The 16,053-nt window shown below is 33.5% G+C and overlaps 1 annotated feature.

The window, feature by feature from the left end:
* Positions 15,696-16,053: part of an enhancer, noted in NCBI's record as "MED14-independent group 3 enhancer chr6:115391597-115392796 (GRCh37/hg19 assembly coordinates)", that runs on past the window's edge. NCBI's record gives its function as "activates an origin of replication core promoter dependent on BRD2, BRD4, P300/CBP and CDK7 cofactors, and independent of MED14, by STARR-seq in HCT116 cells {active_cell/tissue: HCT116}" and the evidence as "EXISTENCE:reporter gene assay evidence [ECO:0000049][PMID:35650434]".

Below are 16,053 nucleotides of genomic sequence, written 5' to 3' on the forward strand. Positions count from 1 at the left end.
TGAGGACAGAAACATCATTAAAAATATTGGCAACCTTAACAGAAACATTTTTAATGGAGTAGTAGGAAAATAGTTAAGATTGTGTTGGATCAAAGTGTGTAACTGGAAACAACAATTGAAGATAGCCTGTGCAGACCAATCTTCTGAGCAAGTTGGCTTTAGGAGAGTTCAGGAATATAAGCAAATAGTTAGAGATAGTGAGAAATTGGATGTTTTGCTGTATTATGTTTTCTTTTACCTCTTTTTTATACAGTGGCTGAACACACCAGAAAATTCTGGTATACTGATATGATTGCCAAAGAAGAGAAGAAAAAAAGAGGAAAAATTAAAGAAACAAAGTTCTGAGAAGAGTCAAGGGGATGGGGCTTCAAAGAAGATATGAAATATTGGCCTTTTTCCTTTGGTAAAAGGAAAGACATTTCTATCATTAAAAGCAATGAAATAAAAGGTGGGCTAATCTAAGTAAGATTGCAGGTTTGTTGAGGACAAGATTAAGACAGTGAAAATATTAAGTGAGCTTAGAAAAAGGATATGGGAATGAATGAATGGACTGTTTCCAATTGATATTACAAAAGTGTTACAGCTATTGATAAAGAATCAATGAAAAAATATGAATAACAGGATGGTCAGGCAAAAATGAGAGTTTAACTGAGTTTGAAGATAAGCACAGGTCAATAGTACCTAGGCTCATTCATCATTGTTTTGTGACATCCTCCAGAAAGCCCATAATAATAAGATAAAACAAATTTCCATAACTGGAATTATAAAAGACTATTAGATTGACAAAATAATAGTAAAGTTTATATTGAATGACTGGTTGTAAAACAATGACTTGAAAAAGAGAGAGGTGATGCCAGATTTAGGAGATGGAGAGGAATATGGTAGGACTTGGACAACTAAAGATCTCCATTTTGGTAGAGATAAAGATATGACTCAGTAGAAATTTACATAAAACATTAGGAGGCACAGTCAAAGAGTGAGATTTCAGAGTAGGTTATCCAAAGAAAGTTTTCAACTGATAATTAAATCTATACTATTAGTGCTTATGTGAGTGACTCAGCTGGCTAATATGAAAGTCAGTGTTTTGAAGAAGTTGAAGATAATTAGGGCAGTGTGAGAGGAATACCAAAATAGACAAAAAGAAACCACATATACTGTAATTTTTGGCAGTAAAAAGAATTTTTTCATGTCACTTTTAGTACTAACTGGGTGACAAAAGTTAAATAACTCATTTATTTTCCTAAACTTTTGATTAATTTCCTTATTGGAGGCTACCACAAAGAAAATTGACAATTTTAGAATTCGAGGTAAAGGTCAATCATATATTAAATGTCAGTCCTGAGAAAAGAAATTAAGTCTTGACAGTAGAATATATTCAAAGAGAACCACCAACTTTGCCCCCTGCTAATGCGGCTTAGCTATAGATGCCCCCTGAAAATAATTTTTAGCTACAGTAATTATCTAAAATAAGCAAACAGAAATAGATCTTTGCTCCAGGAAATTTTCAATGCTGCCCTGAGATTGAGTAGGAAAATGTGTGTGTGTGTGTGTGTGTGTGTGTGTGTGAATGAACATGATCAGATACTTTTGGAATGACTTTGGATATTAGTACGTACACTATAGGCAAGAAATTCTGAATAATTCAGTGATATAAGACAACTTCTGTGTCTTTTAAAAATTATAGTCTAAAGAAAGATGTCAGAGAGATGAATATTTGCTTTGAACAAATGTAACATTTACAGAATCCTTTATACAAAGAATTAAACAGAAATTCATTATTTGTTTTGTAAAATAGTTATTATAATATCCTTTTAAATGTCATCTCTTCATTAAGTTTTAATAATTGGATAACTTTTGTAGAGCTCAAATATTTTGTACATCAGGATTGAAATGCATGCTAACAAAATAAACCTAAAGAAGAAAATTGAATAAAATATGGTTCTTTCAAATAAGCAAACAAAATTTAGTAATCTGAAAAGCAGAAATATTGAGCAAAGAGAATGCAATATGCACTAAAAATATATACCATTATATATTGTATATATAAAAAATAGAATGGAGATGGTTAATGGTTACAAAAATATACTTAGAATAAATAAGATCTAGTATTTGATAGCACAGCAGGGTAACTACAGTCAACAGTAATTTACTGTACATTTTAAAATAGCTAAAAGAATATAATTGGATTACTTGCAACACAAAAAAAGAGTAAATGCTTGAGTTGATGGATACTCCATTTTTCCTGATGTGATTATTATTCATTGCATGCCTGTATCAAAATATCTCAAATACTCCATAATCATTTATACCTACTATATACTTGTACAAATGAAAAATTAAAAAATAAGAAGTGTTCATTTAAAACATACTTATAATGGTTAAATTTGTGTGTCAACTGAGTAGGTTAAGGAATTTCTAGATAGGTGGTAAAACAGTTTTGGGTATGTTTGTGAGGATGTTTTAGGAAGAGATTGGCATTTGAATCAGTAGATTGGGTAAAGAAGATCTATTCATCTGTTGAAGGCCTGAGTAGAGCAAAAAGGTGGAGAAAGGACAAATTTTCATCTCTTTTCTGAAGCTGAAACATGCATCTTCTCCTGCCTGTGGACACTGAAGCTCCTGGTTCGAGTCCGGGACTCAAACCAGTGTGTCCCCCAAACACCCACAACCTGCAGGGCCCTCAGCCTTGGACCAAGACTTACACTATTGGCTCCCCTGGTTCTCAGGTTCTCAGATTTGGACTGAATTACACCACTGGCTTTCCTGGTTCTCCGGCTCACAGATGGCATCTGATGGAACTTCTCAGCCTCCATAATCTCATGAGCCAATTCCCATAATAAATATTCTCTTACGCCTACACATACCCAGTTGGTTCAATTTCTCTGGAAAACCCTAAGATCATACTAATTCCATCATATTTAATGTACATGTTGAAATATGAAATACTGTTTAAAAATGAACATTTATTAAGTTTTCTATGAATTAAATACAGATATAATCAAAATTAGCAAGTTTGGTGGTTCCAAAGTCTCCTAAATGTGACAGAAAGAACAGTTAAGAGAGGAAAAAAAAAGAATGTGATATCTAGAAAGAGAAAAACTTTTCCAGTGAAAACCTAAAAATTCTTAACCACAAGTTTTCACTTAACATTAAAGTATATTTAGAAGTAGAGACGGTAGGAGCATTTAAGCTCTCTCTCCCAAGAACCTACTATATTTTTATTACTACTGTTTTTTAAACTTTTATTTTAGGTTCAAATGTTACTAGGTGAATTTGCATGCCACAGGGTTGGTTTACAGATTATTTTATCACCCAGGTAATAAGCATACTACCTAATATGTGTATCAATGTTTAGCTCCCACTCATAAGTGAGAACGCAGGTATTTGGTTTCCTCTTCCTGCATTAGTTCGCTTAGGACATGATCTTGTTCTTTTTTATGGCTGTGTAGTATTCCGTGATATGTATGTACCACATACTATTTGTTACTAGGTGAATTGCATGCCACAGGGTTGGTTTACAGATTATTTTATCACCCAGGTAATAAGCATACTACCTAATATGTGTATCAATGTTTAGCTCCCACTCATAAGTGAGAACGCAGGTATTTGGTTTCCTCTTCCTGCATTAGTTCGCTTAGGACATGATCTTGTTCTTTTTTATGGCTGTGTAGTATTCCGTGATATGTATGTACCACATTTTCTTTACATAGTCTATTGTTGATGAGCCTTAGTGTTGATTTCATGACTTTGCTATTGTGCATAGTGCTGTGATGAACAAAAATGTGCATGTGTCTTTATGGTAGAATGAAGGAACCTACTAATACTATTTTAACAGAACTTTGACAGCTGCTTCTCTGTTTACACAGCCTAACATAAACAAATGTGTCTGCTTAGGTCAACAGTTAGAAACAGGAGGTTTACAAAACTCATTTGGCATGAAGACCAGTTTTGTTTGGTCTACAGAGATTTTAAATTTTGCAAACATTTAAAAATAATGAAATTTTATATGAAAATAAGTTTTCTGGCTTCTTTTGAAAGAACAGAATAGTTGGTGACACTGCTGTTAAAAGAAAAACTTTAGACAAATTAAATTTGACAGAGTTTAATTGAGCATAGAACGATTCATGAATAAGGTAGCCTCCCAAACCAGAATAGATTCAGAGAGACTCTGGCAGTGCTGAGTGGTTGAAGATTTATGGACAGGAAAAGGAAAGTGACATACAAAAAATGGAAGTGAGAAACAGAAACAGCTGGATTGGTTACAGTTTGCCATTTGCCTTATTTGAACTTGCTTTGAACAGTTGGCCACCTTTGATTGTCTGAAACTCAGTGATTGCTACAAGAGTAACAGCCTGTTTACACAACCATTTAGGCTACGGTTCACTATGTATAGAGAAACCTTTAGAATTAGCTCAAAATATGTAAGGAGGCAGCTTTAGACTAAATTTAATTTAACACTGTGCTTTAAGTAGCAGCTGGTTTCTTTTCACATGGGCCTTAACCTGTTCATTTTCCAGTCCTTTCCACTTACCTGAATACTTACACCTGCCCTTCCTGGAAAATTGTCTTGGCCCTTGTAGGTGTTTGACTTTGGGATGCCCTGCTCAGTCTGTGAGTTCTGAATGCCAATCAATTCCTTGCAAATCCCATCTTTTACTAATGTGGAAATCTGACCTCTACTCAAACCTATGTGAAAGGTCATAAGGCTCAGGAAATAAGACAGTAGATATGGCTCTGCCTGCACCTGTGAGAATACTGCAGAAGTAGAGAACAGAGAAATTCAACCTCCTGTGTTTGGATCAGACAAGAAACAATGGAAGGATATGTGGCAGAAGTAAATAAAGTAATTAATAAGAAGAATGAGACAATTTTAGGAGGGAATTTTATAAAATGATCAATTGATTGTGGAAATACGTTTCACTTTCCTTTCATTATTTCATATCTCAACTTCCTCATTCAATTAATTCAATAATGCGACTTTCTCATTTTCTTATACCCTTGTCTTCAATTAATTAATGCAGTAAATGAATGAGAAGTCAAATTTAAGAGAAATTTTCTATAGAGAACAATTAAGTCCAAAGGAAAAGATAATGAACAGAATTTAAATGAGTAAAATAAATTTATAAAATGTGATGGCCAAAATTATCATACTTTGTGTAATTTCTTTCAAAATGTTGGATGAATTTCATTCATTTACCACATTGCAAAATGAAAAATAACATGTTAAAGTCAGGAGAATAATCTTATGAAATCATAAATAAAAAGGAAATTATAGTTTTCATACTTTTGGTTACAAATGACAGAAGACAAAGGAATGTGAGCAATTGAAATCCAGTAGTTTTCTCACAAAGGTTAATTGAAAAAAATGAAGAAACACTTAAAAGTGTTAGACAAATGTACAGTCCCCTCTGCTCACTGACACTTGTTGGCATTCCTGTTTACAGCCTCTAAGACTAACTTTCTTAAAGTTCATGAAATATTTTATCTTAGTATGCTTCAATTCATCACTATGGCAATTTAAATTATCTTTAAAAGTAGTATTGCTGATTCAAATTATTTTTTTATATTGCTGATGCAACTTGTACTATACTCTTTCTTGATTGAATTTCTTATTTCTGAGGATTTCGTGTCTCATTTCTAATTACAAGGAGCTGTCCTTTGCCATCAACAATATGAATGAGCCTTCATTAAAGAGGTTTCACTGGAGAAAGAAAGAATGAGAAAAAAAACAGAGAGAGAGAGAGAGACCTTGAGAGTCTAGCGAGAGCAAGAAATAGACAGGTGTGAAAAAAGGAGATGAAAGAATACACCAATTTTATTTCATGCAGGGATTCTTAACAGTTGTATTATTGACATTTTGGGCCACATAGTTATTTGTTGTGAGGAGCTGAGCTAAGCTATGCTTTGCAGGATGTTTAGCAGTCTCCCTAGTCTTTATTCACTAAATTCCAGTAATGCCTCTTCTGCAAGTAGTGACAGCCAAAAATGTGTCCTAAAGTACAAAATTATTCTCAAACAAGTGTTTTATACTTTCCAGTCTTTCTGAGTTAAATTTTCCACAATAAAGCTATTCCCATGGTAGAGTTGACTGACTTAAAACTAAATCATGTCTAATTTTTTACATTTTAAAGAGTCACTGTTTTAAGGTATTTAGTTTCTGATTAAAATAATTTAAACTATTTTTTACTGGAAAAGTTTTATTCCCCTTTGTCTTCAAGTAAATGATTAAATTCCAATGAATATTACTCTGGCAACTAAAGGTTTTTCATATGAGGTATACATTTTTGGCTAGAAATAATTCCAAGAAAAAAAACCTTCAGTATAAATGTTTCCTTTATTTTATATTCTCATTTTACATACTATGGTTAAATGATTTTTGGTTAAAACACAAAACCTCAGAGCAAAGAAATGCATCAATAAGGAAGTTGTAATCAACTAATCTCTAATATCGGGTGACATTACAACGTGCCTATATATGCACAACACTTGATTGCCTAACCTTATTTTTTGTACTAGAAATAATATTTTCTATTCAAATATGAGCAGTTTGGTAAATATTGCTGATAATTCTTCTTATTATAATTATTATTATTAAGCCATGACTCAAAGTATTTATCACACTTTTCTCATACCTTTATTCTCATATTTTTAGAAAATCATTTTATGGCAGAAATTTGGCATTTAAAGATGGAAAAGCTAAGGCCCAGGAGGAAAATAATTTGTACATTACATAATGGTGGCACTTAGAAACTAATCAGGATCTTTAGGTCCATACTCTTGTGCTAAGCCACTAAGTGGATACTTCTGTGAGGTCTAGAAGTATCTTAGTTTTTTCTACACATTTACTAATTTTATACCATAATGTTCTGGTGTCACTGATTCACTAGCAGGGATTAAGAATGTTCTCACCAACTGGAGAAAATTTATCCTGAATGATATGCAATTAAGGGATTTGGATAGCTATGAAGAGCAACTACATAAATTGAACTGTAAAAAATATTCCAAACCATTGTGAAAATCTTATCTCCAAAGTAAATGAATCTAGGAAGTAATTCATTCCAATCTGTGTTGTCCAATACGGTAACCTCAAGCTACATGTGGAAATATAATTTTAAATTTAGGACATCGTGAAAATTTAAGGAAAAAACTATCACTCTGACTTAAGGCAATAGTCATAGAAAAGATGTTTCATTTTATGAGTTTTGCAAATTATAATATTCTCCAGAAATAGATGTCAGTCTACTTTTTTGATTTATGTTTTAAAATTCAATTTCTTGAGAACTCAGAGTAATATTGACTGGCTGCCCAACCCTGCTCAATCTGACATGTTAGGAAGGCTATTATCAAAAAGACAGGCAATAGCAAGTGTGGGTGAGATCATGAAGAAAAAAGAACTGTTGTAAAATGTTGCTGAATTCAGTCTGCTGGTATTTTATTGAAAATTTTTGCATCTATGTTCATGGGAGATTTTGACCTTTAGTTTTCCTTTCCTATAGTGTCCTTGTCTAGCTTTGGTATAAGAGTAATGCTGGCCTCATAAAATTAGTTTGGAAGTATTTCATCTACTTTTTCCTGGAAGAGTTTAAGAAGGAATGGTATTAGCTCCTCCTTGAATGGAGTTCAGCTGTGAAGGCTTCTGGTCCTGAGCTATTCTTTGCTGGAAGGTTTTTTTATTACTCCTTATTCATTATTGGTCTGTTCCGGCTTTTATTTTTGTTAATTCAGTCTTGGTAGATTGTATGTTTCTAGGAATATGTCCATTCCTTTTAGGTTTTGCAATTTGTTGGCACATAATTGTTCATAATAGTGCCTTATGAGGTAAGTGTTGGTGAGGGTGGGGACCCCTTGTACACTGTTGGTGGGAATATAAATTGGTACAGCCATTACAGAAGTTTGAAACTTCCTCAAAAAATTAAAAATTGAACTACCAAAGGATCCCTCAATTTCTCTGCTGGGTATATATCCAAAGGAAATGAATTCAGTATCTCTAAGAGATATATGCATTCCCATATTCATTAAAGCATTTTTCATAATAGCCAAGATATGAAACCAACCTGTGTCTGTCAATGGATAAATGGTAAAGAAAGTGTAATTTTATTTACATATATATTTTCCACACATATATGAAAAGTGAGAATATAGACAGTGTCCCTGGGAACTTTTTTTTTTTTGAGACGGAGTCTCTATCACCCAGGTTGAAGTGCAGTGGTGTGATCTCGGCTCACTGCAAGCTCCGCCCCCCGGGTTCACACCATTCTCCTGCCTCAGCTTCCTGAGTAGCGGGGACTACAGGCGCCCGCCACCACGCCCGGCTAATTTTTTTGTATTTTTAGTAGAGACGGTGTTTCACCATGTTAGCCTGGATGGTCTCAATCTCCTGACCTCGTGATCCGCCCGCCTCCTCCTCTCAAAAGTGCTGGGATTACAGGCATGAGCCACCGCGCCCGGCCCCCTGAGAACTTAATAATGTGATCTGCTGCAGAGTATTTTGAGATGACCAATTCATAGAGGATGGTCATTAAATTCAACTTGTACAAAATTTGATACAATATTCTGTGCAATTAGGTATTTAATTAAATATTTAAATGAGTTAAAAAGTTAACCTGAATATAAAATATATGTTAGAACCATTGCTCACTGTAATAACTAACATGAAATAACATTTTCCTTTCTTTAGTATTTTCTTAATGATGAAAAGTTGTAATTGTAAGAAATATTTGAAAATAATCATGCCAATATATGCAATTCTTGGAATCTTTTACAGTGTCAAACATATGCGTTGTTCACAACATTTTTTCCCACAAATATTTGTTGATTATAATAAACTTCCAAGCAAGTATGATTGGAGAAACCCAAGATACTCTGGTGGATGAGCTGAACTTCAGTTTTTTGGGAGGCACTCCTGTCTTCATGACTCTAGAATCAACTGTTGAACCTCAATTCTCAGGAGTTACCTAGAGTCTAGGTAGGGACTAGACTGTTCGAGTCCTTATTTCTATGAAAATTATTGCTAGACTTGTGAAACTCTAGGCCTAAGATCAGCGGCTCTGTGCACCCCTAAGATATTGATGGCAGCATAGGTGCTATTTTGTGCTAAATGTTTACGCTACTTTGAAACCCTTTAAGGGCCTGAAACTCTGTTAAATGCCTATGGCTGGCAGATCAGGGTTGTGGAGTAGCTGAATTCCTTTGTCAAGCCAACTCAGTGTCTAAAACTTGAGTATATATTAAAATTCAGAATGTTCATTTATAAATGAATAAAGTTTCTTAAAATGTAGGTGCTCTTATAGTAGAGAATCCTACATCATAGACTTTGATTTACATTTTTATGAATTTGTTGGTCTCCTAGATTGCTCTGTTTGAATATGCACAAAGATAATATATTACGGTTCAATTCTTCATCACAGCCTTGAACATTTCAATTTCTTAAGAGTTCTATAGTGACCTCCAAAATCCTCTATGCAGAACTTGCAATGAACACCTGTACATTCTAGTTTTCACATTTTAGGACATAAAGATAAGAAGCATTACAGTGTCGGATGTGTGTAATGCAAACAAGCAACTGCCTGCTGCTAGATGACTTAATTATTAGAAACAGTGAAAGGGCAATATTCATTTTTCAGGCCTGAGTGGTTATTTCTTTATGTTAATACAATTTTAATCCACATTAACATTCTTCAGATGCCTTATAGGAATCCCCACATCTCTTCTTTTCCTATCTGGCAGTTCATTTTGCAAGATTATCAGCCTTACCGTGGCTTTCAAATTCTTGTCGTTCTCCCAGTTTAAAGATAATTTCCTGAGCTTATTACAGACATTCCCCCATTTTATATAAAAAATTATAAGTTTATATAATTTTTTAAACACTGTTTTTCTTGCAGTCTGCATTTTGTGCTTCTTTTAATCTTCTTCTATGAAATGCTTTATTTCCTAATTGTGATATTGGAATTTGCTGAGCCAACCATACTTGCTCCAAAGCTAGATTCTGAAGAAATGCAGGTGCTGCAGAACTGCTAAAAACTGTCACTTTTTCTCTGGCTAATCACAGTCATGGTTTGATTAACTGTTTGCCTTTGTCTGCTGCCTGTGGTGATGTGACTTTAGTTCTCTTATCTTGATGGCATCTGGAAATATCTCATAGGAATGAAACTGCAACGTAATTACTTCACACTGAACAGAGAAACAATATCATCCATTGTAAGCTGTGTAGGTGTAAACAGGGTCCTGAAACTATGTAAGAAAATGACTGCAGAGTCTTTATTCATGGAATAGCTCTCATTTTCTTTCATATGGTAACAGTATATTAAAATAGTTTGATTTTACAAAGCGCCTTTTATCTCAGTTTCTCTGTGTATTTAGAGACTATTCTGTAATGTGGTATTAAGCAAACACGTGTCCAGAATAAAGTCTTTCTAATTCTGCATATTTAAACAAATGAGTAAATAAAACTAATGATGAGGATATCAAATTTCAGGATGAAAATTTCTAACAATTAATGGGATCGTGTGGTAGATCCAGGAATAATAATGTCTTATTTAAAAACAAATAAACAAAAACCCTTAATTTCCTCTAGAAGTTCTACCTCTGAAACACCTTTGTACAAAGTGAATCCTCTAGAGAATTCCCTGACGTGCTTTAAAGTAACCTACTAATGAAATGAATTATTGATCTGCTGTGAATATATGTATATATACATACATACATATATATATATATATATATATATATACATACATATATATATATATATACACACATACATATATATATACACTTTTTTTTTTTTTGAGACTGGAGTGCAGTGGCGCCATCTCGGCTCACTGCAAGCTCCACCTCAATCCCAGTTCACTGCAAACTCCGTTTCCCAGGTTCACGCCACTCTCCTGCCTCAGCCTCCCGAGTAGCTGGGACTACAGGCACCTGCCACCACGCCTGGCTAATTTTTTGTATTTTTAGTAGAGATGGGGTTTCACCGTGTTAGCCAGGATGGTCTCAATCTCCTGACCTTGTGATCCGCCCACCTCGGCCTCCAAAAGTGCTGGGATTACAGGTGTGAGCCACTGTGCCCGGCTGCTGTGAATATTTTAACAAAATTTCTATTTAATTTAGAAAATTGACATCTATGTTATATTCTGCTGACTTTGCTTAATTATAATGACCATTATTTAAGAAAAAAAAAAGGAAAGAACATAAGAACATGAAGCCATAAAATCCCGATGACCATTGGCAAATAATAAACAACTGTTCTGTTTCAAACATTGAATTTCGTGGTATGTTAAAAAAATGTGCGAAAGGTGTTTAATATATAGATTCTGCAAAAAGGCATATGGAGAAAAATTGGACTCTCACTGAAACATATATGATTTTGCTTTCAAAGCTCTTTTCCTGCAGAAAGTCATCTTTAGGAAACAAGAGTTTCAAAATATCAGCCTATCATTCATAACTCAGAATGGCCTGTTGGTCTCTGAAACTAGTTTGCTTTGTATTCCAATTCAGTTCAGAAGATTCATTTCAAAGTAGCAAACAGGAAGTAACAACAGGCCTATGACCCTCAAAAAAAGTTTGAGAAATTTTGTAGAAATAAATGTAGGGTCCGGGAATGTGTAGACAGGGTCTGTACCTCCCTTGACTCATGAGATAACCCCAGAGCTGATGGGAAACTTCCCAAGGGCAGGATCATGGGCAGTTCCATGTCCGTGTCCCTTGGAGGGTGGGCATGTGCCAGAGCCCCAGGACTAAGTGGTCAGGAACACTTAATAAATGTGGAAGTTTCAATAAACTAATTTTTATTAGACAAAATATGCAACAAATTCAGTGCTCAATCATTTGCAAGCATATTTTCCGCCCCAGGGACTACTGAAAACAAGCGTAGAATGGCTTCTAGGGCACTGTTGTAAAATTCTGTAAAGATTCTCAGTAACACCTTATTTAACAAGCCTGAAACCTAAGTGTTAGAGGCATAAAGATAGAGAAAAACACTCTAAAATGATACATTTCTGTAGATGTAGGAAGGTTTAGGTATTGATTTATATTCGCCCAAATCTTTTTTGTCTTTTAATTTCTGTCTCATCTTTTTCACAGTATCCACAATTCTCTCATTTTCTCAGAGGTATAAGGACACGAAAAGTCTCAACAAAGCATCCTGGTTTATTCTGAGGTATTTTCATTCTGGATTTAAAATACTAAACCCTGTTATCATATTTCTTTCTCCCCTGAAGCTTTGGATAATCTCAAGGCAAAACACATCCCTAACAATTGGGTTACCTCTACAAATCTTGAAAATCCTACATTCAGAATTGTTTCATCTGGCATAAACCTGCAGGTTTGCATGGGTGAGTAACCAACCATACTCGAATACAGGTAGTAGTGTAATTTGAAATGGAATTTGATTCCTTTCTTCTTAGGAGGAGCAATCTTATTTGAAAATGAAAATCACAATCCATGTGTATGGCTGTTTTACAAGAATTGTCACTTTTTTTTTTAGAAAGGCTGTAAACAAGAGAAAGGGTTCCTGTCTAACAGAGGAACATCACCTGATAATTGCATAAGAAAATTATAACTAATTTTGTTAGGTACTATTAGAAAGCAGGTAGAACTAAGGAAAATCTGTCTCTTGATAAAAGTAAAATTATATTAAAGAGACAATTCTATTGTATAAGGGTAAATATGCATTTAACATTTCATTTAAAGTTAGGAATACATCTACAATAAACTGTTATTCCTACTCTGATTACTTAATTCCTGAGAAGTCATAAAAAACAAAACAATGTAACTTACCAATCAATTATATAAAGCATATAGCTATATTGTTTGTAAAAGAAAATATTAGCTTTTAAGCTAATGTGTGTATAATATGTGTAAATATCAAAGTAACAATAATTTATGATGGCTGCTTTTTTTTTTAAAAAAAAAAAAAGGTAAAATATCACTTTTCAATCAATGATAGGGCCTGTGCAGGAAGTTGTCATTTTCAGCTTAAGGATAAATTAGCAAAAGTTTTGTCTATCGACTCTCACCTGGTCTTTCATGCTGAGAGACCTGCATTACTAAGGACTGTCTTGTAACTAGAGTTTGTGGGTATGTAACAGCCAAAAGTTAAGTAGACCACTGACACTTTGGACCTCTAATTCGGCTCTTATCAGCCACAGGCTAAGGCTGAAACGATTGACCACAGAGATCTGAGGAGCTGAGTAAGCGGCTAGGGCAGGTTTGACTCTTTTTGAACAAAGCCAGACAAAACTGTAGAAAAAGACTTTTTAACTATGTTTGTAGCTAGAAGAAAAATTACTTTGGTCAAAAGTGGATGTAATAATGCTTGTAACTATCTGAGAGGAAGCAGACTAGTCAACTCCTTTTTTTGCTTTTATCATCTTTATTAAAGGAAATGGTCTGCAGACTAGGAAGAGTAGAACAAGCATGGCTCAGAGGAAATTTATTCGGTATGGCAATAACACCGAAGTGATAAAATCAGTGTGACTGGGCAGTGATGTTGTTTGACCTCTGGGACTCCCCAGCAGTCTTTTATGCTTAATGGACCACATGACAAATGAATGTGGTCATTCATTCATTCACTCATTCATTCATTCAACAAATACTTATTAAGCTTATCTTCTGGAGGATGGAGTTGACTATATTAATCAGCATGTAAGATCATTTCAGAAAGTGACAAATTCTTTAGAAAGAACCAAGGAGAAGGAATAATCATTGCAAAGACCTGCAGAGTCATTTTCTTTTGTTTTGATCACTTTTTGCTGCCCCTGAAATATTCATCTATTTCCCACCTTCATGTCTTCACATGCTATTTCCTCTGCCTAGGATGACTTTTCTGTCCTCTGCTTAGAAAACCTGTAATTATGACTCAAAATCCAACAAAAATAACACATGCTCTGTGAAACTCTCATCATTCAACTGCTTGAAAAGGAAGGGACTTGAGAAATTAGCATTACCTAGTTATTCTAGGCACATTTTGCGAATGTCCTTTCAAAATATATATAACATTATTGTTTTTATTTACCTTTTCTTCTCTTACCCTGTTAACTTGAGCTATTGTAATGAAATAATCCTATATATATTTATTACCATAGATCAGTAACTGGCAAAACTTTTCTGTGAATTATTTTATAAAATATTACCAGGTTGTAAATGTTTAGGTTTTGTGGGCCTTACAGTTTCTGCCACAATTATTCACCTCTGCCATTATAGCATGATAACAGTCATAGACAATTTGTGAATTAATGGGTATAGTTCCTATAAAACATTATTTACAAAAAGGGGTGGTGGGCCAGATTTGACCCATGGAAAGTAGCTTGCTGACCCTCATAATTACAGGTTCTATTTACTTTTCCTTTTCCTTTCTGTTGTTTGGAATAAGTTCCTATGGTTTGTATATTTTGTTATATGAGCTTTGTCTTTCCACATTTCATTTCTATTCATTTGAAAGATATATTTTATGTTTTAAATCCTACTGTTGGTTACATTTGAGGGTCTAAAAAGGGTCTAAAAAATATATGAACACATGTTATAAATAACAATGGCAAAACTTGAAAGAGTGTATCTATCCAATTCTCCTCAAGGAAGATGAGAAAACTAACACGAACTTTTTTCCTCATCCTCATCTCTTCCATTTCAAATTTCTATAGTTGTATCAGAATTTGTAAATGAATTTATTATTTTAAAATTATTTTTATATTATGTGTATTGTTCTTTTAAGGTTTATTATGACATTTGACTTGTTTTATAACCATATGTATAAAATTTCATAGAGTTGATCCTATTTAAAAGCATTGAGTGAATATTACAATAATTTTTATATCACCTTTCCTCCATTATTTAGTTCCTTTTGTTTCCTCATTCTTCAGTTGGCTAAATTACATTCTGATGTAATTTTTTTGTGGGGGGCAGTTTTTGTGTCCATGATACACATTCTGAGCCACTGAATACTTGTGAATATTTTTCTAATGCCTTAACACATGGAAAATAACTCTCTTGATAATCAAATTTATGTTCTCATGGTGATTCTCTATTCTGCATTCTTTTGGCTTCCTTTTAAGTTAATTATTGGAAAAGGAAAATGGGCATTAAGTTTTATTAAGCTCTTTGAAATACTTATCTTTTCTTCTTGAAGATTTAAAATATCTCCATTTGCTTTTGCCAACAATCAATCACCTATAACAAATACTCATCAGATCCTTCTAAAATATATTAACTTTTAGGATACTAAATAGCAGCTAGCATGTTTTCATGATAAGCAAATTATACCAGAATAATTTAATTCTCTGCCAGGGAGAAATACCAGGTAGAAAAAAAAAAAAAAAAAAACTTATATCTGACACAACTGTATTATGCTGAGGCTTTTGATTTGGTTTGACCTGAAAATTCTACTAGCTTTGTAGGAAAGGTTGGTTTTGAACATACTCATATTAGGTAGACTAACAAATTACTAAAAGACCAAATTCAAATGAAAAGCATTATGATGACATGGATGGAACATGAATTTAAGTTAATAATCAGGAGAGATGTTTGTTTGTTTATTTTATTTTTTATTATTCCATTTTCCTGTTTAGACCTGAGGCAATTTTTCCCATTCATTTGTTAATATATAAAATAGATATAATACCTATCCAGAATGGTACCTATGAAATTGTTCTGAGGATCACTGGAAAATGTAAATATAAGTTTTTGTAGCTATAAAATCTATACTTTAACATTATTATTTTCCATTTTATTAAAATAACCCATGCAACCTAAGAAGTCAAGTAAAGGTATTATTAGTGTAATATATGTATGTGTGTCTGTGTGTGCATATATATTTTAAACAACATTTTTCCATATGACATAGGGTATGATATATACCAATAATTGTTCTTCTTTAATGCATTATAACATTGCAAATATTTTATTTACTAAATCAAATACTTTTGTCATATTCCAGGCAATATAATAGACATTAAAATGCAGATACAAAATAATACAGAATTTTCTGTATTCCCCATAATTCACCTGCACAAACTGATGTGCAAACTTAGTGTGAAAATCACTAGCCAACTGGATAGC

This window comes from Homo sapiens, chromosome 6 (assembly GCF_000001405.40).
Source record: "Homo sapiens chromosome 6, GRCh38.p14 Primary Assembly".
In the NCBI taxonomy this organism is placed as follows: domain Eukaryota; kingdom Metazoa; phylum Chordata; class Mammalia; order Primates; family Hominidae; genus Homo; species Homo sapiens.